The 21803-nt window shown below is 63.2% G+C and overlaps 2 protein-coding genes across 20 annotated transcripts in view, besides 6 other annotated features; one reads left to right on the plus strand and one right to left on the minus strand.

Annotated features, from left to right (window-relative positions):
• The window catches only part of CHLSN (cholesin), a 160294-nt gene that overhangs the window by 4026 nt on the left and 134465 nt on the right, over positions 1–21803 (minus strand). For 4 of the 17 annotated variants that reach the window (NR_156697.2, NM_001424326.1, NM_001424325.1 and 1 more), the window contains 2 exons: positions 18481–18562; positions 15657–15815 (listed from right to left, as the gene is read on the minus strand). Coding sequence is in view for 10 of the 17 variants with exons in the window: in NM_001424326.1 (NP_001411255.1) it covers positions 15657–15815; positions 18481–18562 (241 nt within the window). In the remaining 7 variants the exon portion in view is untranslated. Of the gene's footprint in view, positions 1–1209; positions 1388–3225; positions 3446–14997; positions 15816–18476; positions 18563–21803 lie in introns of those variants that run through there. The other 13 variants (NR_134537.2, NR_146964.2, NM_001318252.2 and 10 more) reach the window with 8 other exon arrangements.
• On the plus strand, positions 1192–7651 carry CYP2W1 (cytochrome P450 family 2 subfamily W member 1). Of its 3 annotated transcripts, none has more exons than XM_011515441.4 (10): positions 1192–1396; positions 2423–2585; positions 2961–3110; positions 3177–3334; positions 4635–4808; positions 5118–5256; positions 5358–5542; positions 6288–6429; positions 6646–6718; positions 6972–7651. In XM_011515441.4, exons 1-10 carry the CDS (start codon positions 1223–1225, stop codon positions 7039–7041), a joined length of 1428 nt encoding a protein of 475 aa, XP_011513743.1. In that variant the 5' UTR covers positions 1192–1222; the 3' UTR covers positions 7042–7651. The 3 variants fall into 3 exon arrangements, with proteins under 3 accessions (XP_011513743.1, XP_011513742.1, NP_060251.2); XM_011515440.4 differs by having other exon boundaries at positions 7136–7651; NM_017781.3 differs by having other exon boundaries at positions 6646–7651.
• Positions 6399–6468: a silencer, noted in NCBI's record as "silent region_17835". NCBI's record gives its function as "represses an Ori minimal core promoter by ATAC-STARR-seq in GM12878 lymphoblastoid cells {active_cell/tissue: GM12878}" and the evidence as "EXISTENCE:reporter gene assay evidence [ECO:0000049][PMID:35858748]".
• Positions 6778–7378: an enhancer, noted in NCBI's record as "H3K27ac-H3K4me1 hESC enhancer chr7:1028403-1029003 (GRCh37/hg19 assembly coordinates)". NCBI's record gives its function as "activates a minimal SCP1, AML or CMV promoter by ChIP-STARR-seq in primed H9 embryonic stem cells {active_cell/tissue: H9 hESC(primed)}" and the evidence as "EXISTENCE:reporter gene assay evidence [ECO:0000049][PMID:30033119]".
• Positions 11078–11167: a silencer, noted in NCBI's record as "silent region_17836". NCBI's record gives its function as "represses an Ori minimal core promoter by ATAC-STARR-seq in GM12878 lymphoblastoid cells {active_cell/tissue: GM12878}" and the evidence as "EXISTENCE:reporter gene assay evidence [ECO:0000049][PMID:35858748]".
• Positions 13703–13752: an enhancer, noted in NCBI's record as "active region_25484". NCBI's record gives its function as "activates an Ori minimal core promoter by ATAC-STARR-seq in GM12878 lymphoblastoid cells {active_cell/tissue: GM12878}" and the evidence as "EXISTENCE:reporter gene assay evidence [ECO:0000049][PMID:35858748]".
• Positions 15249–15789: an enhancer, noted in NCBI's record as "H3K4me1 hESC enhancer chr7:1036874-1037414 (GRCh37/hg19 assembly coordinates)". NCBI's record gives its function as "activates a minimal SCP1, AML or CMV promoter by ChIP-STARR-seq in primed H9 embryonic stem cells {active_cell/tissue: H9 hESC(primed)}" and the evidence as "EXISTENCE:reporter gene assay evidence [ECO:0000049][PMID:30033119]".
• Positions 17246–17835: an enhancer, noted in NCBI's record as "H3K27ac-H3K4me1 hESC enhancer chr7:1038871-1039460 (GRCh37/hg19 assembly coordinates)". NCBI's record gives its function as "activates a minimal SCP1, AML or CMV promoter by ChIP-STARR-seq in primed H9 embryonic stem cells {active_cell/tissue: H9 hESC(primed)}" and the evidence as "EXISTENCE:reporter gene assay evidence [ECO:0000049][PMID:30033119]".

The raw sequence follows: 21803 nt of genomic DNA on the forward strand, positions 1-21803 counted from the left end.
CAGCACGGTAATCCAGCCTGGGCAACAGAGCAAGACCCTGTCTCAAAAACAAAACACACAAAAATCAAAAGTATTCCCTGAATTAATTAAGTAAGCTTTGCTAGGCAGGTAGGACCCCCAGCCTACCCAGTAGTGGCCCTGGTATGAGGCACTCCCTCCCCGCCGCAGCCGCCCAGCCCTGGCCCTGAGGCTGTACAGCAGGATAGAGGTAGTGAGCTCCCCACCACAGGAGGCGTGCAACTGTGCCTGGGGCTTTCCCTCCCAGCTAATCAAGGGGGACCAACCCGGGAGGGGTGAGGGCCTCAGGCTGCCTCGGCTCTGCGGTTCGTACAGGGCATGGGCAACGCCCCAGAGACAGGCTGTGGGGAGGGTCCCGCCTGCTGGCACCAGCTCCAGCTGCCTCATGTCAGGGCAGGCTGTGCAAAGCAGGCCCGGCCGCTTCTGCTGCCAGCAGCCCTCCCACCCCTCACAGCGGTTTAGGAGACAGATGGACAGGGCTCGTAAACCCCGCCACCTGCCACCCGGCAGCCCTTCCATGTTCCTGTCCTAGCTCAGAGGGTTGCATCCCCTGCCCGGGCGGCAGCCCTCGAAAAGGAGCAGGCTGCTACCTGGGGCGAGAACACCCTCAGGGAGATGCAGGTGGTGGCCTGTGAGGACTGTGGGATTTGAGTCCCCTCATGGGCCTCCCTGAGGTCTCACTCCTGTCCCTTGCCCCGTGGGGAGCTGATCAGAGAAGAGCTGGGTGCACACGGATGGGGTTTGGGAGAGGCCTGCAAACCCTGAGCTCCACAGGGTCCCACTCAGAGCCTGTGAAAGGCAGGGGGCTCCCCTCCAAGCCAGGGCCTCGGCCCCAAAGCCCTGTGAATCCCAGTTCTGAGGGGTGGCCAAGGCCAAGGGGCCTGGACTGGCAGGTTCAGCAGAACCAGGGGCAGAACAGTCCACGTGCCACATCCTTCTCTCTGGCCAGGAGACATGGATGCCTGACCCCAGAGGGCCCCCGTCCTGCCCTCCCCTCCCCGGCCCCACCAGGGCCTCAGCCCCACATTCCACGCAGGCCTGCAGCTTTAAGCCATCCGCTGGGGGCTGCCCTGCAAACTGCTCGTTCCACATTCTCGGGGTGGTGGGGTGGGTGGGGTGCGGGCACGCCCTCCCGCGGAGGCCTATAAGGGTGCGGGGGGGACGGGGCCCAGGAGGGGAGTGGAGCCTCACCAGCCACGTCCTCATGGCCCTGCTGCTCTTGCTGTTCCTGGGCCTCCTGGGGCTCTGGGGGCTGCTCTGCGCCTGCGCCCAAGACCCCTCCCCAGCTGCCCGGTGGCCCCCGGGGCCTCGCCCGCTGCCGCTCGTCGGGAACCTGCACTTGCTGCGTCTGTCGCAACAGGACCGGTCCCTGATGGAGGTAAGTCAGGGAGCCCGGGCAGCTCTTGCCGCTTGGACAGCTGCCGTGTCCTGGCCCCCCTCCTGGGGAAGCCCAGCCCGGTTTCCACTGCCTGTTCCCACATGGTGCCGGGCCCAGCGGGGCACGCAGGAGGCCGGAGGGCCCACCCTGCTTTTGGGAGGGGAAAGCCACCCCGTCCCACAGGGAAGCAGACACACTGAGTACGAAGAAGCCCTGGAGGTGCCACCCAGGGCCCGGCGCGGGAGCAGGAGTCTGGAGGGCTCCCTGGAGGCGGTGGCGTCTGCTGAGAGCCCGCAGGAGGCCAGGCTTAGGGACAGCAGAGGGGAGGAGGGCCTGGGCCTGTCGGCTGCCTGCTCAGCCCCCCTCGGCCCTCAGGTGTTCAACAGCAAACACTTCCCACTTTTGAGCCTCTGTTTCCTCATCTGTGAAATGGGAAGAGGACCTGTGCCTCCTGGGCAGGGATGCTGAGGACAGAGGGTACGGGGACACGGCACGGGGCAGCCTGACTAGCACTGTCGCTCTGTCCTCGCTCAGGCAGGCAGGGTCAGTGGGACAGGGCTGACCAGTCAGGCCCGGGCCCTGCCTCCGGCTGCCCCCAACTGCGGGCTGGGGTGCTGCTGGCCGGGCTGTAGCCGAAGACGGATCAGGGTCTCTGGGGGCCGAGCCTGTCAGGCCCTCACTCTGTGCAGACTCTGGCCTTTCAGAATGTGCCACCCCAGCAGACAGCCAGCCCCCGACCTTGCCGCCTGGACTCAGGGCTTGAGCCCCCCAGGAATTTTGGCTAAAAAGAAAATCCCACAACAGCCATGCCAAGCACCAGATGGCGAGAGGGCTCTGTGGGCTCCAGGCTGGGCGCTGCCCCCTCCACCCTGCACCACTGGCTTTATGGCATCTAGGCGTGCCCCCTCCACCTGCCCCCATTTTCCCTCTGTCCCCACCCCTACCCAGCACAGGCCCGGCCTGAGGGGACCTAAGGGGGGTCTTGTGGGTGAGGGCTGCCCGGGTGACCCCCGCCATCCCTGCCAGCTCTCAGAACGCTACGGGCCGGTGTTCACCGTGCACCTGGGGCGCCAGAAGACGGTGGTGCTGACGGGGTTCGAGGCGGTCAAAGAGGCGCTGGCGGGCCCCGGGCAGGAGCTGGCCGACCGGCCTCCCATCGCCATCTTCCAGCTCATCCAGCGAGGTGGAGGTCGGTGTGTGGCCGGCGCTACGGGGCCTACTGGGTGTGGGGGCACCTGGACCCCAGGAGGGGTGGGGGCTCCAGCAGCGGGAGAGGCTCCCAGGGTGGCCTGGGGAAGAGCAGGCAGGAGCTGGGCCTCCGGGCTGGTGCTGAGAAGGGCCAGGTGTCCACACAGCAGGTCAGGTGCTCAGAACCAGCAAGCGGGGTTCTTTTCATCCCAAGTCAAGAGGGGCCAGGGCCAGCCCAGGGGGACGGGAGTGGGGATGGGGGTGAGGGCCCAGCCAGTCTCGCTGCCCTGTCAGCCTGCTCACTTCCTGCCCACTTGCCTGGCGGGGCTGGCTGGGGTGGGAACCTGGGCTCACCACGCACTGTATCTGCCTACAGGCATCTTCTTCTCATCTGGGGCGCGCTGGAGGGCTGCCCGCCAGTTCACGGTGCGTGCCCTGCACAGCCTGGGCGTGGGCCGGGAGCCGGTGGCTGACAAGATTCTGCAGGAGCTGAAATGCCTCTCTGGGCAGCTGGATGGCTACAGAGGTGAGCAGGGGGCCGGGGACGCCCCTCCCCGGGCCTGGACGTGCCTGAGGCCCGTCTCCCTCGCAGGCCGGCCCTTCCCGCTGGCCCTACTGGGCTGGGCTCCCTCCAATATCACCTTCGCGCTCCTCTTCGGCCGCCGATTTGACTACCGGGACCCCGTGTTTGTGTCCCTGCTGGGTCTCATCGATGAGGTCATGGTCCTCTTGGGGTCCCCTGGCCTGCAGGTGAGGAGCTGCCTCCCATCCTTGGGGTGGGGTGGAGCCTGGAGTGATGGGCGTGCAGCAGGAGGACGGGGGCCCCAGTGCTGTCCCCTCTCAGCTTCTCGGCCCTCCCACCTTGCAAAAGGAATCAGATGCAAGGGCCTGAATCAGGACCCATCCGACGTTAGCTGGTCATGTGGCCTCAAACCAGCCCCTGTGCTCTCCAGGAAATGGGGGATCCCCATCTCCCCCACGCCCTCATCAGTAACAGATGCATCTGCTCAAGAGTGGAGGTGGGAGGCAGGCATGGCTTCCCCAGAATTGCGGGGGGCTCCATGTCTGCCCCCCAAGCCCTGACAGTCCAGGCACCTTCCTGCTGACGCCCTTTACAGTGCCCCAAAACCACAAAAGTTCACCCCTCTGATGTTTGGAACTCGTGTATTTCATTTAGCTTCAAAATGTAAAGATCCCCTCTTTTTGGTCCTCATGGTATTTGATGTGCGTTTACCGAAGCCTGCATCTCAGGTGTGATACCTGCATCACGGCTGGACCCAGAGACCACGGGTCCTAGTCCTCCTGGCTTCCCAGAGGCAGGGCCGTGATGGGAGTGAGTGAGCAGCGGTGGGTTCACAAGCGAGAGCAGGGGGCACAGCTTCCACCCGTCCTAGCCAGGGTGAGACCACCCTGCCTGCTGGTGGAGCCAGGCAGGCCCAGAGCCCACCTGGAAGATGGAGGCTGCACGGCACTGCGTGGTCCGGGGCAGCCCCAGGGCAGCAGAGCATTCCCTGGCCTTCCCTGCTGGTGCCAGCTCCTTACCACAGAGACGCCGCGTGGAACTCACTACTGGCGATCGCGGACGCCCCAGGAAGGCGAGTGGCACGAGGTGTGGCGGGGCTGCCACAGGCAGTCACGGAGCACCCGCTGGTGCCAGGCTCACCCCTCAGATACAGCCTCGTGGGCTGGCTCAGTGGCGGCCCTGACTCTCCAAGGTCTGAGGTCTGCTCTGTCTTCCATTCCATGACTCACAGGAGGTTCAAGGTTACTTCCACTGTGGCAGCTGCCTCCCTCCTCCCTCTCCAGGATGGAAGGAGGTCCTGCTGTGCAAACCTGCCTGGCTGTCCCCTTCCGGGACACGGACAGGGGGTTTCCTGGCAGTTCCTGGTCCTCCCTTGAGGGCTAAGGGTCCCCCCGTTCTGTGGCCGCCTCCAGCACATCCACCCAGAGTCCCTGGGCGTGAACACAGCCGCTGGGGACGATCACCGCCTGCCCAGCGTGCAGCCCTGGGGCTGCGTCCTTATCTCCGCTCCTCCTGCCTCCTGCCCAGCTGTTCAACGTCTACCCATGGCTCGGGGCCCTGCTCCAGCTGCACCGGCCCGTCCTGCGCAAGATCGAGGAGGTCCGTGCCATTCTGAGGACCCTCCTGGAGGCGCGGAGGCCCCACGTGTGCCCGGGGGACCCCGTGTGCAGCTATGTGGACGCCCTGATCCAGCAGGGACAGGTGTGTCGGGACCCAAGACCTCCTTGAAGGCCTGTAGGGGTCCTGAGGGACACCCCAGGGGAGCACGGCTGGGGAGGGGTCCATACCGGTCCTGCACCAAGCTCCCTACCTCCTGGCTGGGGGCCTCTCAGAGCCTCAGTCTCCTTGTCTGTGAAACGGGGCATCCATAGTGCCTGCCTCGGGGACGCTGAGGGATGGCTGAGCCCAGATCACCGGGGCATCCATAGTGGAGCCCAGGGCTGGGCTGGGTCTGTGGGGTGGGGGACAGACCCCAGATCATCCCACGAGCCCTGCCCCACGCCTCTGCAGGGGGATGACCCCGAGGGCCTGTTTGCTGAGGCCAACGCGGTGGCCTGCACCCTGGACATGGTCATGGCCGGGACGGAGACGACCTCGGCCACGCTGCAGTGGGCCGCACTTCTGATGGGCCGGCACCCGGACGTGCAGGGTGAGACCCCGGCGCCTGGCGAGACGGCTCCTTCTGCCCCCGGGGGACCCCCAGGGACGAGGGATGGCGCTGCCACCCAAGCGGCCCACCCTTTGCCCCAGGCCGGGTGCAGGAGGAGCTAGACCGCGTGCTGGGCCCTGGGCGGACTCCCCGGCTGGAGGACCAGCAGGCTCTGCCCTACACAAGCGCCGTGCTCCACGAGGTGCAGCGGTTCATCACGCTCCTGCCGCACGTGCCCCGCTGCACCGCGGCCGACACACAGCTGGGCGGCTTCCTGCTCCCCAAGGTGGGGCTGGGCCTCCCTTGCCCCTTCCATCTCCTCTGGGGTAGGCCTCGGCGGGGGTCCAGGGGCACTGGGACGGCTGAGCGTCTGGTGGGTGCCTGATGGCCCAGCGCTCCCCGACCGGAGGCAATAAAGGGCGTCCAGCCAGGAGCAGGAGGGAGGCAGCCCTCTCACCCCACAGCCCAGCACTTGGCCTGGCCAGCAGACCTGGCGCCTCCCTGCATGTCCTGGGGTCCCCTCCGTGTGTCCTGTGGGCATCCCTGTCCATGTGTCCTAGGCGATCCCCTCGGTGTGTCCTGGGGGTCCCCTCTGTATCCTGGGGGGGTCCCCTCTGTGTGTCCTGGGGATCCCCTGTGTGTCCTGAGGGGTCCCCTCTGTGTGTCCTGGGGATCCCCTGTGTGTCCTGGGGGGGTCCCCTGTGTGTCCTGGGGGTCCCCTCTGTGTGTCCTGGGGGGGTCCCCTCTGTGTGTCCTGGGGGGTCCCCTCTGTGTGTCCTGGGGGTCCCCTCTGTGTGTCCTGGGGCGTCCCTCTCCATGCATCCTGGGTGTCCTCTCTATCCTTGGGGCCCCTGGCTGTGTGCCCTGGGGTCATGTGGCCTCCCTGGGTTTGGGTGCCTCACCTGCAAGGTGGGCTAACACCAGGTGTGGTGGGTGTGGCAGGAGCTACATCCTGGAATGAAACTTCCCAACCCAGGCCCCATCCCATCTTCCCCGGGGCCCCTCTCTCTGTGCCCCGGCTGCCCCCACAGGGCACGCCCGTGATTCCCCTGCTGACCTCGGTGCTCCTGGATGAGACACAGTGGCAGACCCCAGGCCAGTTCAACCCCGGCCATTTCCTGGACGCGAATGGGCACTTTGTGAAGCGGGAGGCCTTCCTGCCTTTCTCTGCAGGTCAGCAGCCCTCGGGGCCGGGGTGGGGCGGCACCTCCAGGGCTCCAGGGGTGGGACGGCCCCAGCTCCGCCTGCCGCCTCTGCACCCACCTCCTGATCTCAGGTTCTGAAGGCGGCTGTGGTGGCTGCTCCTGTGCTCCCCTGGGGAGGTCCCCACCCCTCCCCTCCAGGAGCAGGCCTGGTGCAGCCCACTCTGTGCCTGGACATCCCCCGCAGGCCGCCGCGTCTGTGTTGGGGAGCGCCTGGCCAGGACCGAGCTCTTCCTGCTGTTTGCCGGCCTCCTGCAGAGGTACCGCCTGCTGCCCCCGCCTGGCGTCAGTCCGGCCTCCCTGGACACCACGCCCGCCCGGGCTTTTACCATGAGGCCGAGGGCCCAGGCCCTGTGTGCGGTGCCCAGGCCCTAGGAGCTCCCCCAGCCCCCAGGTCCTCCTGACCACTCCCCTCCCAGCCCTGGGTCCTCCCACCCTCTCTCCTCCCACCCCACAGCTCGGACTGCTCTGGGAGGGCCCTGAGGACTCCCACCCTCACCCCCACCCCCACAGGGTCAGCAACTGCTTCCGGTTACACCCAGGACTACCCCTGCCCGACCCTGTGGGACCCCCACCCCTCTGATGCTGTCTGCAGCTCAGTCCCTGCCAGCCCCCAGGAGCGCCTCCAGGGCCCCGCCCACTCTCCCACCCCTGAAGCTGCACTCCCACCCACCTAGCTCCCCCCAGGGCCCCCCAGCACCTACAGCTGGGGCTGCAGGGAGACAACGGGTGGCTGCATCCAGCCAGAGACAGGCGCAGGTGGGTGTCCTCAGCGTGCGAGCCCTGCACCCCCCAGGTCCTGGGACTCCTGCAGACCCCACTCCATTCCCGCTCCTGGAACACTTCCTGCAGCTGTGCCTGGAGGCAGTCGGCCTGCAGTGCCAGACTCTGAGCCAAGCCACTGGGGCCATGCGTATGACTGGTGCAGGGAGGCAAGGCCCACATTCTCCTTCAGAGACAGGCACTGGCGCCAGAGGCTTCCTTGGGGCGGGGGGAGGGCACCTCAGCCCCTGAAGACAAGCAGCACTGCAGTGGCAAAAATGGAAACACTGACCCGGTGCGGTGGCTCATGCCTGTAATCCCAGCACTTTGGGAGGCCGAGGCAGGCGAATCACGAGGTCAGGAGTTCGAGACCAGCCTGCCCAACATGGTGAAACCCTGTCTCTACTAAAAATACAAAAAAATTAACCGAGCATGGTGGCACGTGCCTGTAATCCCAGCTACTCAGGAGGCTGAGACAGGAGAATCGCTTGAACTGGGAGGCAGAGGTTGCAGTGAGCCGAGTTCGCACCACTGCACTCCAGCCTGGGTGACAGAGCGAGATTCCATCTCAAACAAACAGAAGGAAATGTCGAGCCACACAGTGGCACATGTGCTGGGGGCGGTGTGGTCGGCAGTGTGACAGTGGCACGTGTGCTGGGGGCGGTGTGGTCGGCAGTGTGAGTGGCGCGTGTGCTGGTGGCGGTGTGGTCGGCAGTGTGAGTGGCACCTGTGCTGGTGGTGGCGTGGTCGGCAGTGTGAGTGGCGCGTGTGCTGGGGGCGGTGTGGTCGGCAGTGTGAGTGGCGCGTGTGCTGGGGGCGGTGTGGTCGGCAGTGTGAGTGGCGCGTGTGCTGGGGGCGGTGTGGTCGGCAGTGTGAGTGGCGCGTGTGCTGGGGGCGGTGTGGTCGGCAGTGTGAGTGGCGCGTGTGCTGGGGGCGGTGTGGTCGGCAGTGTGAGTGGCGCGTGTGCTGGGGGCGGTGTGGTCGGCAGTGTGACAGTGGCGCGTGTGCTGGGGGTGGTGTGGTCGGCAGTGTGACAGTGGCGCGTGTGCTGGGGGCGGTGTGGTCGGCAGTGTGACAGTGGCGCGTGTGCTGGGGGTGGTGTGGTCGGCAGTGTGACAGTGGCGCGTGTGCTGGGGGCGGTGTGGTCGGCAGTGTGACAGTGGCGCGTGTGCTGGGGGCGGTGTGATGGGACACCTGCTGTCTGAGACGGCCCTGGCCCCCGTCCCAGCGCTGACCATGCACGTGAGCGGCAGGCGGCCCCTCACCGAGAAGAGAGGATAAGCCGTGGCACATTCCCACCTGCGCCACGTGAAGCGGCGCCCCAAGGCCAGGACGTGGTGGCCGGGACACACGGGTGCACGGCAGGCCTCACACTCCCAGGTGGGGCCGCAGGGTCCCTAAGTCATGGGTGGGGCTGCTGCTACGGAGGCTGCTGCAAGGACGAGAAGGGGACGGAGGGATGGAGGCTCGGCTGCGTCCGCTCACCTATTTCTGGGGAAGAGCAGGGAGCGAGTGCTGGCTTCACTATTCTCCCCTCAGACATTTGAAATATGACACTGAAAACTTGAAGGGCAGAAAGAACGGGGTCCTGGCGCCAGGTGGGGCCACGCGACGCCCCGCCCAGTGTGACTGGTGAGCCCCTCTGGAGCTCTGGAGGGTGCGGAACATTCCAGGGCAGGGGCTGTGGAAAATCCCTCCCAGCTGTTGTCAGGGCTCCCGGGTGGGGTGGAGGACTCAGGCCCAGCCCTCCCAACCCTACAGGGGACCCTTGTGCCCCCAACTTAGTCGGCCTCCTGGGTGGGGTGAAGGACTCAGGCCCCGCCCTCCCGGCCCTGCAGGGGACCCTCGGGCCCCCGCCTTACATTGGCCTGGGGTATTCATCTCCTTGGGCCCAGGGGAGCCCGAGGCCCACGTGGGGAGGAAACGCTGACCCTGTCCCGCCCCGCTTCATGGAGGCCCAGCCGACATGAGGGACACCAAGTACAGGGTGATGAGTGACGGCTGAGCTTCCCCTCAAAGCACTAAGACAATAAACATAACCCCAACCCCAACCCTGACCCCGCTCGCCCGACTCACGCGACCTCTCACCCCATCTCACCCAGCGAGATGACAGGGCTCCTCCACGGGGTACAGCCAGGGCCCCCCAAGTTAGGCGGTCCAAATGCCTCATCCTCAAGTGTAAACAAGCCTAGCTTAGTGAAAACAGAGTAAGCAGGTATCAAATCTCCTTTAACTCATGCCCATGGGCGTGGGCAGGGGTGTGGGGCGGGCAGGAGGGAAGGGGGGGGCCGAGTGAGACCCGAACCCCGGAGGTGCCACCTTCTCGACCGGGCAGACCTGGGTGCCCGTTTCTCACAGCTGCACTCAGGCTGCCGGCCAGGTGCACAGGCACGTCCCGGGGGCTTGCTGGGAAATGCCGGGGCTTGGCACGGATGGGACAGGCCACTGTCTACGCCTCATTTCCAAGTGTTTCTTTGTTGCTATTTTTAAAAATGGTGATAAAATACACGTAGAGAAAATTCACCATCAGCCATGTTGAAGTGCACAGTTCAGGGGCACAGGCACATTCACGGCCACCACTGTCACCTCCAGAGCCTCCTCATCTTCCCGGGCTGAAGCCCTGCTTGCGTTAAACACCCACTCCGAGTCCCTCCCCAGTCCTTCTCCTTCCTGGTCTGTGGGTGTGAGGGCTCTGGGGACCTCGAGTGAGTGGGGAGTGGTGGATTTGTCCTGCTTTATCCACGCACCTGCCAATGGGTCCTTTTCAAGGGTCCCAGAGAACTCAGGCAGCAGGCAGCCCGCGAGCCCAGCTTCCTCACGCATGGATTTCGGGAGATGCCTCTGTGGACATCCACCCCATGGTGCCCAGATGTCATGGGAGAGGCAGACACCCCGAACCCCATGGCTCACGACGTGGCTGAACTGCTCCCCGGACGTCTGTCCTCAGCAGCAGGAGGGACGCCGACCCCGGCCCCTGTACCCCCCCGCCTCTAGGTCTCCAGGGAAGGACCCTCCTGGGGTGGGCAGGCTGCTCTTGGCCCCAGATCTGCTTCTGGGTCTGAGGCTGGCCCTCAGCCGTGCTGCACGTGCCTCCCATTACCATCCTAAGTCAAGGCAAAACAAAACCACACAGTCCCCGAGCCATCTGCAAACCTCCCGCAGCAAGCTCGGAGGGTGAGGCCCCCCCACAGTAAGCTCGGAGGGTGAGGCCATCTGAGTGCCGGGCTGGCCGGGCTTAGGAGGAGACCAAGCTTTACCCACGGAGACGCCGTTTAATGGAACCCAAGTGACCCAAGGGAGCTGCCACGCCACCGCTCAACCACACCCACAGGGAACACACATGTAGGGGCCTGGGGCCTTGTCCAGTGCGGGGGTCCTGGTTCAGATGTCCTGAAGCTCCTCCCTCGGAGTGGGCAGCCCCCATTAGGAAACTTCTGGAACCCAGAGGCTGGAAGCCGGCCTCACTCTGGGACCTGGGCCCTCCCCGTGATTGCTGGGGCTCCCTCAGAGCGGGGGTCTTCTTCCCACCTTGGATGCTGAGGGGGAAGGAGGTAAGACACTGGAGGGCTGGGTGGGCTCACCAGGCTTCAGAGGGCAGTGGGACTTGGACAGCTCAGCCTAGCGCCCAGCTGTCTCTCCGGGCAGGTCTCACAAATGCCCCGAGGCAGGCCCATCGCTGGCCAAATTCCCCACCCCTCCTGCCTGGACTCAGTCCCTTGTGAAATCTAAGCAAAGTCCTAGGGTGTCTGAGGTCAGAGTGCATCGGGTAGCTCCTGCTGCATAACAAGCGGGGGAGGGGGTGGCCCATGGCTCTGGACTGCTGGGCCACAGGGGTGATGAGGTGAGGCTTGGAGGAGTCTGTAGGATCCTAACTTTGATGACTATTCAGGGTTTGAGGCTGCACTCAGCTTTATCGCCTGTGAAACCCACGCAGCCAGCAGGGGTACGAGTGCTTCTGAGGTCCCAGTGGGCGGGGGGTGGCCTGACCCAGACAGGGCAGGGGGACGGCAGCTGGAGCGCGTGGAGAGAGCGCCCGTTCCCTGGGAGCCACTGGAGGGCGCATGGCACACGGCGCCCGGCCAGGGCCTGACTGTGACTGGAGCAAGAGCCGAGGGACTGGACGGACGGCAGGTGGCGCCACCTGATCTGTGCAGGGACAGGCAGGGACAGGCAGGCAGAGAAAGAGCCCAGCTGGAGGCTGCCAGCGCTCCAGGGAGAGGAGTGGGGAGCGGACAGCGCCGGCCCGGGCTGGAAGGTCAGCTTGAGGCTCTGGGATGTGAACACTGGGCACCGAGTCATCCAGAAATAAATCCCAGGCACGGTGGGAGGCCGGGGTGGGAGGATCGCTTGAGCCCAGGAGTTTGGGACCAGCCTGGGCAACACAGTGAGGCCCCCCGCTTCTACAAAAAATACAACAATTAGCCGGGTGTAGTGGTAGCAACTGTGTTCCCAGCTACTCAGGAGGCTGAGGGAGGAGAATCGCCTGAGCCCAGGGGGGTGGAGGTGGCAGCGAGCAGAGCTCATGCCACCGCACTCCAGCCTGGACGACAGAGCGGGACCCTGTCTCTAAAAAGATGCCACTCTCTTGGGGGCTTGGAGGGAGGACAGTGCTCTGAGGGTGATTCAGCGGCCGAACCTGTGTCACTCTTGGTGGAGTGAGCAGACGGCACTTGGTGTGAGCTGTTTCTCAGACATCAATCCTGCAAGAAACTGCTCAGAGGCCGCTTCCTCAGAGGGCTGGGTGGGCTGGGGCAGGGGACGGTTTCCGGAAGCCGCACAGTGCTGTGAGAGGTCTCCAGCCTGCTCTGCGTGTTCGCACCCCCAATGTCAGGGAGGGCCCTTTGGCCTGGAAAGCCCAGTCTCCACAGGTCTGCTCACCCCCACAGGCAATGTGATTCTGACTTCCAAACAATGCTCCCTTTGATTATTTAAAAACATTACTTTTATTTTTATGTATTTATTTTTTCAGACAGAGTCTCGCTCTGTCACCCAGGCTGGAGTGCAATGGCACGATCTCGGCTCACTGCAACCTCTGCCTCCCGTGTTCAAGCGATTCTCCTGACTCAGCCTCCTGAGTAGCTGGGATCACTACAGGCGCCCACCACCACACCCAGCTAATTTTTGTATTTTTAGTAGAGATGGGCTTTCACCAGGTTGGTCAGGCTGGTCTCGAACTCCTGACCTCATGATCCGCCCACCTTGGCCCCCCCCAAAGTGTTGGGATTACAGGCGTGAGCCACTAAATTTAGTGCTCACCGCACTAAATTTTTTTTAGATGCCGGCTCTTGCTGTGGTGTAATCACTGCTCACTGCAGCCTTGACCTCCCGAGCTCAAGCCATCCTCCCACCTCAGCCTCCCGAGTAGCTGTGACTTCAGACACATGCCACCATCCCCGGATTTTTTATTTTTTGTTGGGGGGCAGTTTAGCCATGTTGCCCAGGCTGGTCTCAAACTCCTGAGCTCAAGCGATCCTCCCGCCTCTGCCTCCCAAAGTGCTGAGTTACAGGTGTGAGCCGCCGCACCCGGCATGAGTTATCAGTGTGTGGCTTGGTGTTTCTGACACCTGCACACACTTGCATATCTACTGCAGGGGACATTTCTCCCTGAGCTCAGCCCAGATGTGCTTTGTCACAGCCCATCGCTTATGGCCTTGGACACATGTAAAGAGAAAAGCACGCATGCCCACGCTAAGTTTGGCCCCTCACTTGGCACAAATCTTGATCCGCCACCTGGCTTGCTGCAGGTCAGCAGCTGCCCTCTCCACAGTGAGGAGCACTTGCCGAGGGACAGACGTGAGGGACGGACGTGAGGGTCGTCTCCAGGCTAAGGCGGGGCTTCCTTAGCCGGAGGCTTCCTGGCTCAGGAGTCCCGCACAAGCGCCAGCTGAGACAGGGACTCACAGCCCGTTCTCTGGCACACACAGCCCCAGCACATGTGGCCCGACGTGGCTGGCCCCTGGGGTTGCATGGGCGGGTGCCCTCACTGACCTGCACGGGGTAGGGAGACCCCAGGGCATTGCGTGGTTCTCTGAGCCACATTCCAGGTGACTTCTCTGCGCCACCCTTCGGCATCTTTCGCCAGGGAGCCCTGAGGAGCTTGGCACCTTACGATCCACAGAGGTGGGAACCCCTGACAGGAGAGCACTCCCCAGCCGGTGTCAGGGGAGCATCTGTGCTGTCGAAGGGAGGCCCAGGTCTTCAAGACCTTTTCCCACTAATGGTCGGTGAGGACTCAGCAGTACCCACCCCATTTCCCTTTCTGACTCGGCTGCTGGGAAGCTCAGAGCTCTGGTTCCGGATCCATCAGCCCTGCCTTCTGGAGGCTGCTGCCCCTTCTTTGCACTTTGCGGGTCTCCCTCTGCTGTTTGTTTAAGGTGCCTCACAGCATAGGGGCCACTGAGCACCCTGACTGCTGGGCTGAACACGGACCCTTCCCAGCAGCTTCTCTGCAAAGCTGTGCTGCCAGCAGCCGGATCGCAGGCACCGCCTGGCAGATCTGAAGGTTCGTGCTGTGCAACGTGCCTTCCTGTTTGTGAGTTCACCTGACCGACACCAGGAGGGGCTGGACTCCTCGCCTGCCGCCGGCAAGGCCCGCCCTGGGCCAGTGGGGTGCACACAGCAGGCCCTGTGTCGTGGGTGGTCAGAATTTTGGCCACAACAGTTGGGGGACGGGGCTGGATGCTGGCCAAGGAAGAGCAAACAGCCTCATCTCCTTCCCACAGCTTGGTGGGTGCAGAGAGGACCTGGGGACACGGTCCTTAGGGTCTCCTCCGGCCCCGAGTCTCGATGTCCACATAGAGATGGCCTGAGTGGTCAGCCAGACCTGCCCAGACCACATCTTAGCCCAGCCCTGGGTGTCTTCAGGGAGCTAAGGAGGAAGTCACAGTAGACGTCCGTGGGTCACAGTGAGGCCAGTCACCGCTCTGAGGTGCAGGCCCCGAGGGCCACGGCTGAGGAGGCCCAGCCAGGCCAGCAGTGGCCACGGGAAGCCCCAGGCCCTCCCCACAACAACAGCCCGGAGCCTGTGACTCTGCTCTCACAGGGTGAGGCCGGCCGTGCTCCCGCCTCCCGGCTTGCATGCAGCTCTGTGCGTTGGTGGCAGCCAAGGCAGGCAGCCTGACCTCAGCCTCAGGAGCTCTGTTGGGGGGCGGGGCACCCAAGGGGGCACTCAGGGCCTGAGCCAGCGTCCCAAGGCTGCCAGGTGGCGGCTGCAGCTACTTTTCTGCTCCACCGTCAGTTGGGGGAGCACTGAGACGGCAGCACAAACCCCCAACCTGGGCTGGGCAGGAGGCGGCCCCGGGGCAGCAGCACCTGGGTGTCTGCTCTGTGGAGGCCCAGACCGGAGCCACTGGCCTCAGCCCTCCCCGGGGCCCATCCTGGAACAGACTTGGCCTCACAGTGGGGCACGGACCTCCTCGCCATGGCCACCCGGCCCTCCCCGGCAGCTGCCCAGAGCTCTGCGGTCACCACGGCCTTCCCGGTGCCCCGCGGCACCTCACATCACTTGGGGGCAGGGACCACGTGCTGCTGGGAACAGGAAGTGTGTGGCTTGATTCTGTGCGGCCTAAGTGTGTTTCCTGGCAGGGTCAGTCACTGCCAGCGCTGGGAAACGGCCGGCCTGAACGCAAGCGATCAGCCAGCACCCACTGCCAGGAACGCCACACACAGAGCGCCCCCAATGCCATCCTGGGGTGGCCACCAAGGGCGGGGTCTCAGCCTGGCGTGCGCTGGCATGGGGGACACGAATTCCGCAGTCCACAGGCAGGGGACGCACCGCACAGAGCAGGACCCACGGCTGCTGCTGGGTCGGGTTTTATTTCAAATGCAGCCACAGAGGCGGTTTCTGCACAGGTACGTGATCCGACTCCACAAGCTCCCACCAGGGGCTCCCCATGACCCGCAATGACGCTGTGTGGGGTCAAAGGAAAACAGGCCACAGCCAGGCCCCTCGATGGACGCAGGCAGGGGACCAGGAATGCGGCCCACGCAGGGGGATCGGGAATCAGGCGGAAGGTGCAGGTTTGCAGCTGGCGGGAGGAGCCAGCATGCCCCAATCTCTAAAATATTCCCGGTAGAAAAATAGACATTTCCCTCCAAAGCAGATTCCTGGGGCTGGAGGGTCCCTCCAAGGCCAGGGGTCCGGGTGATTCCAGAGCATCCACGCTCTGCGCTGAAGGCACTGAACCTGCCATCACTGTCACAGCCGTCACCGGCCAAGGAGGGTCTGGAGGAGGGAAGGGGCCCTTGCGAGGCTCTGGTGCTGGTGATCCCGGCCCCCACCACCGGAGGAGCTGAAAGCCCTTGCTCAGCCGCTGCCCTGCTGGTGAACCCGGCCCCCACCGCCGGAGGAGCTGCACCCTGTGTGGTCTGAGGCAGCCCTGCACTGGGCAGCGGCCCCGCCCCGCGCTGAACCCACTAGGAGAGCAGCTGCAGCACCTGTCGGATGCGCTGGGCCCTCCCCGGCAGGGGGGGATCAGAGCCCTCCTCATCCAGCTCCCGCATCAGGGCTTCCGCCTTCTGCACCGTCAGCTCTCGGGCCCGGCCCTGCAGCCCCTCCAGGTAGGCCAGCAGGGTGGAGAAGTGCTCATCGGGAACCTGGACGGGAAAGAGATCGAGTTGGTCAGGGGCGGGGCAGGGAGGGGCCGCTGAACAGCAGGAGACAAGACGCTGCAGCCAAGGACACCCGGGCCTCAGGCTTCCGTCCTCCCACTGCGGCCCGAGGGTGTGGGCGGCCTGGCCACAGACCCTGCCCCAGACACTGGAAGAAGAAATGCCTGTTTAGAGGCAGACAAAACACTCAATTAACCTGGGTAAAACAGAAGCCATGTGGGGAGAACATTTCACAAACATCGTAAAAATCCTCAGAAAAACGAGAAAATACGACACAAATTAAACAGGGGTAGGCGGTGATGAAAGGTGCATTCAGAACAAAAAGCCAAGTACGCGCCGGCACTTGGCACGCTCGCCTTTCTGCTCAGGGCGGCAGTGGCCAGGTGGCATCTCTTGGTGGCCTGACCCTTGTCTGCTGGTGGTGGGGGCACCTCTGCACAGGCTCACCAGTCACCTGACAATCTGCTCTGCAGGCACGTTTCCTCAGGTCCCTGTGGCAGCGGCTTTCAACACTGGGCTCTTTTTATTATTGAGTTAGCAGAGTTCTAATTCCATGTGGGACTTGCAAACGTCTCCCATTCTGTAGCAACCATTTCACTTTCCAGCTAGTTCTGTATGCAGTGCAAAGTCTTAGATTCTTTTTTTTTTTTTTTTTTTTTTTGAGCCGGTCTTGCTCTGTTGTCCAGGCTGCAGTGCAGTGGCACGATCTCCACCTCCCAGGTTCAAGTAATTCTCCTGCCTCAGCCTCCCAAGTAGCTGGGATTATAGGCAAGCATTACCACACCTAGCTAATTTTTGTATTTTTAGTAGAGACGGGGTTTTTGCCATGTTGGCCAGGCTGGTCTCGAACTCTTGACCTCAAGTGATCCACCCGCCTCAGACTCCCAAAGTGCTGGGATTACAGGCGTGAGCCACCACGCCCGGCTACACAGTCTTAGATCCTGATGAAGGCACTTTCTCGACTTTTTCCTTTGTCGCTTGTGCTTCTAGAGTCACATTTAAGAAACTGTTGCCTCACCCAAGGGCACGAAATGGACTCTTAGGCTTTCATCTAAGAGTTTTGGTTTTAGCTTTTAAATTTAAGTCTCTGATCCATTTTGAGTTAATTTTTGCATATGGTTTGAAGCTGGGGGCTGCGTGCATTAAGTATCGGCATGTTCGTAAATATGTACGGTTACATATGAAATAAAAATGTATAAGTAAAATGCACATTTGTGTGTTTGTAAATATGTTTAATTACAATAGTGTAAGATAACTTTGCGTGTGTGTGTGTGTGTATACACACATATAAATGGCTAACCAAGGATTTGCCTAACCAAGGATTATTTTTCTGTATAAAAAGTTTTGTATAAAGTTTACTTTTGGTAATAGTAACATATAAATAAAACCACGTAAACTTTGGTTAAAACAAAACAAAACGTGGAAACCCAGTTGTCCCTGGCTCTGTTAAGAAGAGGTTTCCTCCACATGGAACAGGCTTGGCCCGCATGCTGGAATCAGCTGCGCCGGGCGTGAGGGTTTCCAGGCTTCCCAGGCTGTTCCAGTCAATTCTACTTCCACCCTTGTGCCTGCCCCAGTGTCGCGATTACCGGAGCTTGCAATAGGGCTTACAATCGGCTTGCAATAGGGCTTGCAATGTGTATGTCCTCTAACTCTGAGGAGGGAGAGTGGCTTGAGCCCAGGAGGTCGAGGCTGCAGTGAACTGTGGTCGTGTCACTGCACTCCAGCCTGGGCGGGGCCCTGTCTCAAAAAACGCCCACAAAAAAACAAAAACAACAAAATAATGAAAGCAAGTGGCTGCAGGCTATGCCTGGAATGTCCCAGGGCTGTGAGTGGGGCTGGTGGGCCTGCCCCGCTCTGAGAGTCTGCAAACACAGGCACGGCAGGAGAAAACCGCCCCCTGCCCCCAGCGCGCACGCAAAGCCTGGCCTCTAGTAACGTGGGCGCAGGAGAGCCAGCGAGGCAGGAGGCACTGCCCACCGGATGCAGCTCAGCAGAACCGTGGGCTCCTCCAGCCTCACAGGACATGGGCAGCTCCAGCCCGCCGCCCAGCAGCCGGGTTTAGTTCAGAATTCTGTCTCGTTTCATCCTGTGAAACTCTATCTCACATCCTGCCCCTGAAAAGGGCAGCTGCCCACACGTACATGTGTAGACACACATCACGCGCACACACGTGTAGACACACGTCATGCACACACGCACGTGTAGACACACGTCACACGCACACGTGCAGGTGGCCTCCCTAAGGTTACCCCGTGTTGGTTTCTGCCCTGAAGGCCGGCGGCAGGGCTCCTGGAGGAGGCAACGCTGCTCATCTCTTAGAACAAAGGCACCGGGAGACCTGCCCTGCAGTGGGGCCCTGAGGGCGGCCCCTTCAGACTGTGGCTTCTGCTGTCAGGGCCCCAGTGTGCACAGGAGACGTGCCTGCCCCGCCGTGCACAGACCTCAGCCCCCAGGAGACGTGCCTGCCCCGCCGTGCACAGACCTCAGCCCCCGGGAGACGTGCCTGCCCCGCCGTGCACACACCTCAGCCCCCGGGAGACGTGCCTGCCCCGCCGTGCACACACCTCAGCCCCCGGGGGGACGTGCCTGCCCCGCCGTGCACAGACCTCAGCCCCCAGGAGACGTGCCTGCCCCGCCGTGCACACACCTTGTCACTGTCATACATGTGCAGCAGGAGCCACGTCTGCCTCGTCTTCTGAAACCTCCAGTTCTTGTGCTTTTGGGCCCATCTAGGGAAAGAAAGACAAACATCTCAGGGTGCTGGGCAAAAGACTCCCGGGCAGCTGTCTGCCCTGAGAGATCGGGGACGCCTCATCTTAGGAGAGGGAGCCCCACCAGGTACTACACACCAAGGCCTCATGTGAAGAGGGTTTTTGGAGCCCCTCCCCTGCCCGAGGCGAGGAGCCGCAACCCCACGCCCTGCTGCCGCCTGACCAGGAAGCATGTGGACGCCACTCTTACCTTGGCCACCCCGGGGCTCACCACTGACCCCAAGTCCCCGTGGGCTCCCCCACCCCATGGGTCACACGGATTTTACAGGGGGGGAAGGATGAAGTGAGTTTCTCTGGGAGGAAAGGGAGCGATGTAATTGATGATGTATTTTCTACATGAAAATGGGAAGACTGTAAGGAACAATACCCTGAGTCCCAGGCCCTCACAACAAGGGGCCAGTGGGCCTGGGGACGAGCAGCTCCCGGCTGCTAGAGGGGCCGCTCCCCAGGGCCACAACCACCCCGCCCCCGTCCCGCTCCTGCACTAGGGCCTGTGGACATCAGGCAGCTGCGGATGGAGCGAAGCTGGCGCTGTGGGTAGGGCAGGGCCAGGCAGGGTTTACTCCAGAGACCTCCTCCCAGATACGTGTTTCCAGGGCCAGGCAGGGCAGCCGAGCCCAGAAGCCTCCATCAGTGTGCAAGCCCAGGTCTGAAGACTGTAGGCTCAGCACGGGGGAGGGCCCTGTGCCTGTTGTGAGCGCTGCCCAGCTTGCCTGACCCCACTGCCATGTGGGTGAGTGGAGTCCTGTGGGTGTGGAGCCCTGTGGGTGGGGAGTCCTGTGGGTGAGTGGAGTCCTGTGGGTGGGGAGTCCTGTGGGTGAGTGGAGTCCTGTGGGTGGGGATTCCTGTGGGTGAGTGGAGTCCTGTGGGTGGGGAGTCCTGTGGGTGAGTGGAGTCCTGCGGGTGAGTGGAGTCCTGTGGGTGAGTGGAATCCTGTGGGTGGGGAGTCCTGTGGGTGAGTGGAGCCCTGTGGGTGGGGAGTCCTGTGGGTGAGTGGAGTCCTGCGGGTGGGGGGTCCTGCCGGTGGGGAGTCCTGCGGGTGGGGAGTCCTGTGGGTGAGTGGAGTCCTGTGGGTGAGTGGAGTCCTGCGGGTGGGGAGTCCTGCGGGTGGGGAGTCCTGTGGGTTAGTGGAGTCCTGTGGGTGGGGAGTCCTGTGGGTGAGTGGAGTCCTGCGGGTGAGTGGAGTCCTGTGGGTGGGGAGTCCTGTGGGTAGGGAGTCCTGTGGGTGTGGAGCCCTGTGGGTGGGGAGTCCTGTGGGTGAGTGGAGTCCTGTGGGTGGGGAGTCCTGTGGGTGAGTGGAGTCCTGTGGGTGGGGAGTCCTGCGGGTGGGGAGTCCTGCGGGTGGGGAGTCCTGTGGGTGAGTGGAGTCCTGTGGGTGAGTGGAGTCCTGTGGGTGGGGAGTCCTGTGGGTGAGTGGAGTCCTGTGGGTGGGGAGTCCTGTGGGTTAGTGGAGTCCTGCGGGTGGGGAGTCCTGTGGGTGGGGAGTCCTCTGGGTGAGTGGAGTCCTGTGGGTGGGAAGTCCTGTGGGTGAGTGGAGCCCTGTGGGTGAGTGGAGTCCTGTGGGTGAGTGGAGTCCTGCAGGTGGGGAGTCCTGTGGGTGGGGAGTCCTGTGGGTGAGTGGAGTCCTGCGGGTGAGTGGAGTCCTGCGGGTGAGTGGAGTCCTGTGGGTGAGTGGAGCCCTGTGGGTGAGTGGAATCCTGTGGGTGGGGAGTCCTGTGGGTAGGGAATCCTGTGGGTGTGGAGCCCTGTGGGTGGGGAGTCCTGTGGGTGAATGGAGTCCTGTGGGTGGGGAGTCCTGTGGGTGAGTGGAGTCCTGCCGGTGGGGAGTCCTGTGGGTGGGGAGTCCTGTGGGTGAGTGGAGTCCTGTGGGTGAGTGGAGTCCTGTGGGTGGGGAGTCCTGTGGGTGAGTGGAGTCCTGTGGGTGGGGAGTCCTGTGGGTGAGTGGAGCCCTGTGGGTGAGTGGAGTCCTGCGGGTGAGTGGAGCCCTGCGGGTGAGTGGAGCCCTGTGGGTGAGTGGAGTCCTGCGGGTGGGGAGTCCTGTGGGTGGGGAGTCCTGCGGGTGAGTGGAGTCCTGCGGGTGAGTGGAGTCCTGCGGGTGAGTGGAGCCCTGTGGGTGAGTGGAGCCCTGTGGGTGAGTGGAATCCTGTGGGTGGGGAGTCCTGTGGGTGGGGAGTCCTTGGGTGAGTGGAGTCCTGTGGGTGAGTGGAGTCCTGTGGGTGGGGAGTCCTGTGGGTGAGTGGAGTCCTGCGGGTGGGGAGTCCTGTGGGTGAGTGGAGTCCTGTGGGTGGGGAGTCCTTGGGTGAGTGGAGTCCTGTGGGTTTGGAGTCCTGTGGGTAGGGAGTCCTGTGGGTGAGTGGAGTCCTGTGGGTGAGTGGAGTCCTGTGGGTGAGTGGAGTCCTGTGGGTGGGGAGTCCTGTGGGTGAGTGGAGTCCTGCGGGTGGGGAGTCCTGTGGGTGAGTGGAGTCCTGCGGGTGGGGAGTCCTGTGGGTGAGTGGAGTCCTGTGGGTGAGTGGAGTCCTGTGGGTGGGGAGTCCTGTGGGTGAGTGGAGTCCTGTGGGTGGGGAGTCCTGTGGGTGAGTGGAGTCCTGCGGGTGGGGAGTCCTGTGGGTGAGTGGAGTCCTGTGGGTGAGTGGAGTCCTGTGGGTGGGGAGTCCTGTGGGTGAGTGGAGTCCTGCGGGTGAGTGGAGTCCTGCGGGTGAGTGGAGTCCTGTGGGTGAGTGGAGTCCTGTGGGTGAGTGGAGTCCTGTGGGTGGGGAGTCCTGTGGGTGGGGAGTCCTGTGGGTGAGTGGAGTCCTGTGGGTGAGTGGAGTCCTGTGGGTGGGGAGTCCTGTGGGTGAGTGGAGTCCTGCGGGTGGGGAGTCCTGCGGGTGAGTGGAGTCCTGTGGGTGAGTGGAGTCCTGTGGGTGGGGAGTCCTGTGGGTGGGGAGTCCTTGGGTGAGTGGAGTCCTGTGGGTGAGTGGAGTCCTGTGGGTGGGGAGTCCTGTGGGTGGGGAGTCCTGTGGGTGAGTGGAGTCCTGCGGGTGGGGAGTCCTGTGGGTGAGTGGAGTCCTGCGGGTGGGGAGTCCTGTGGGTGAGTAGAGTCCTGTGGGTGGGGAGTCCTGTGGGTGAGTGGAGTCCTGCGGGTGGGGAGTCCTGTGGGTGAGTGGAGTCCTGTGGGTGAGTGGAGTCCTGTGGGTGGGGAGTCCTTGGGTGAGTGGAG

The sequence above is a fragment of the Homo sapiens genome, chromosome 7 (genome assembly GCF_000001405.40).
Source record: "Homo sapiens chromosome 7, GRCh38.p14 Primary Assembly".
NCBI lineage: Eukaryota > Metazoa > Chordata > Mammalia > Primates > Hominidae > Homo > Homo sapiens.

What these genes read in the sequence shown, in the direction of transcription:
- CYP2W1 (XM_011515440.4), top strand. Translation starts at nt 1,223, where the DNA reads ATGGCCCTGCTGCTCTTGCTGTTCCTGGGCCTCCTGGGGCTCTGGGGG. An exon ending in AGGACCGGTCCCTGATGGAG is followed by an intron (nt 1,397 to 2,422) that starts GTAAGTCAGGGA and finishes CATCCCTGCCAG; the next exon opens with CTCTCAGAACGCTACGGGCC. An exon ending in CTTCCTGCCTTTCTCTGCAG is followed by an intron (nt 6,430 to 6,645) that starts GTCAGCAGCCCT and finishes CATCCCCCGCAG; the next exon opens with GCCGCCGCGTCTGTGTTGGG.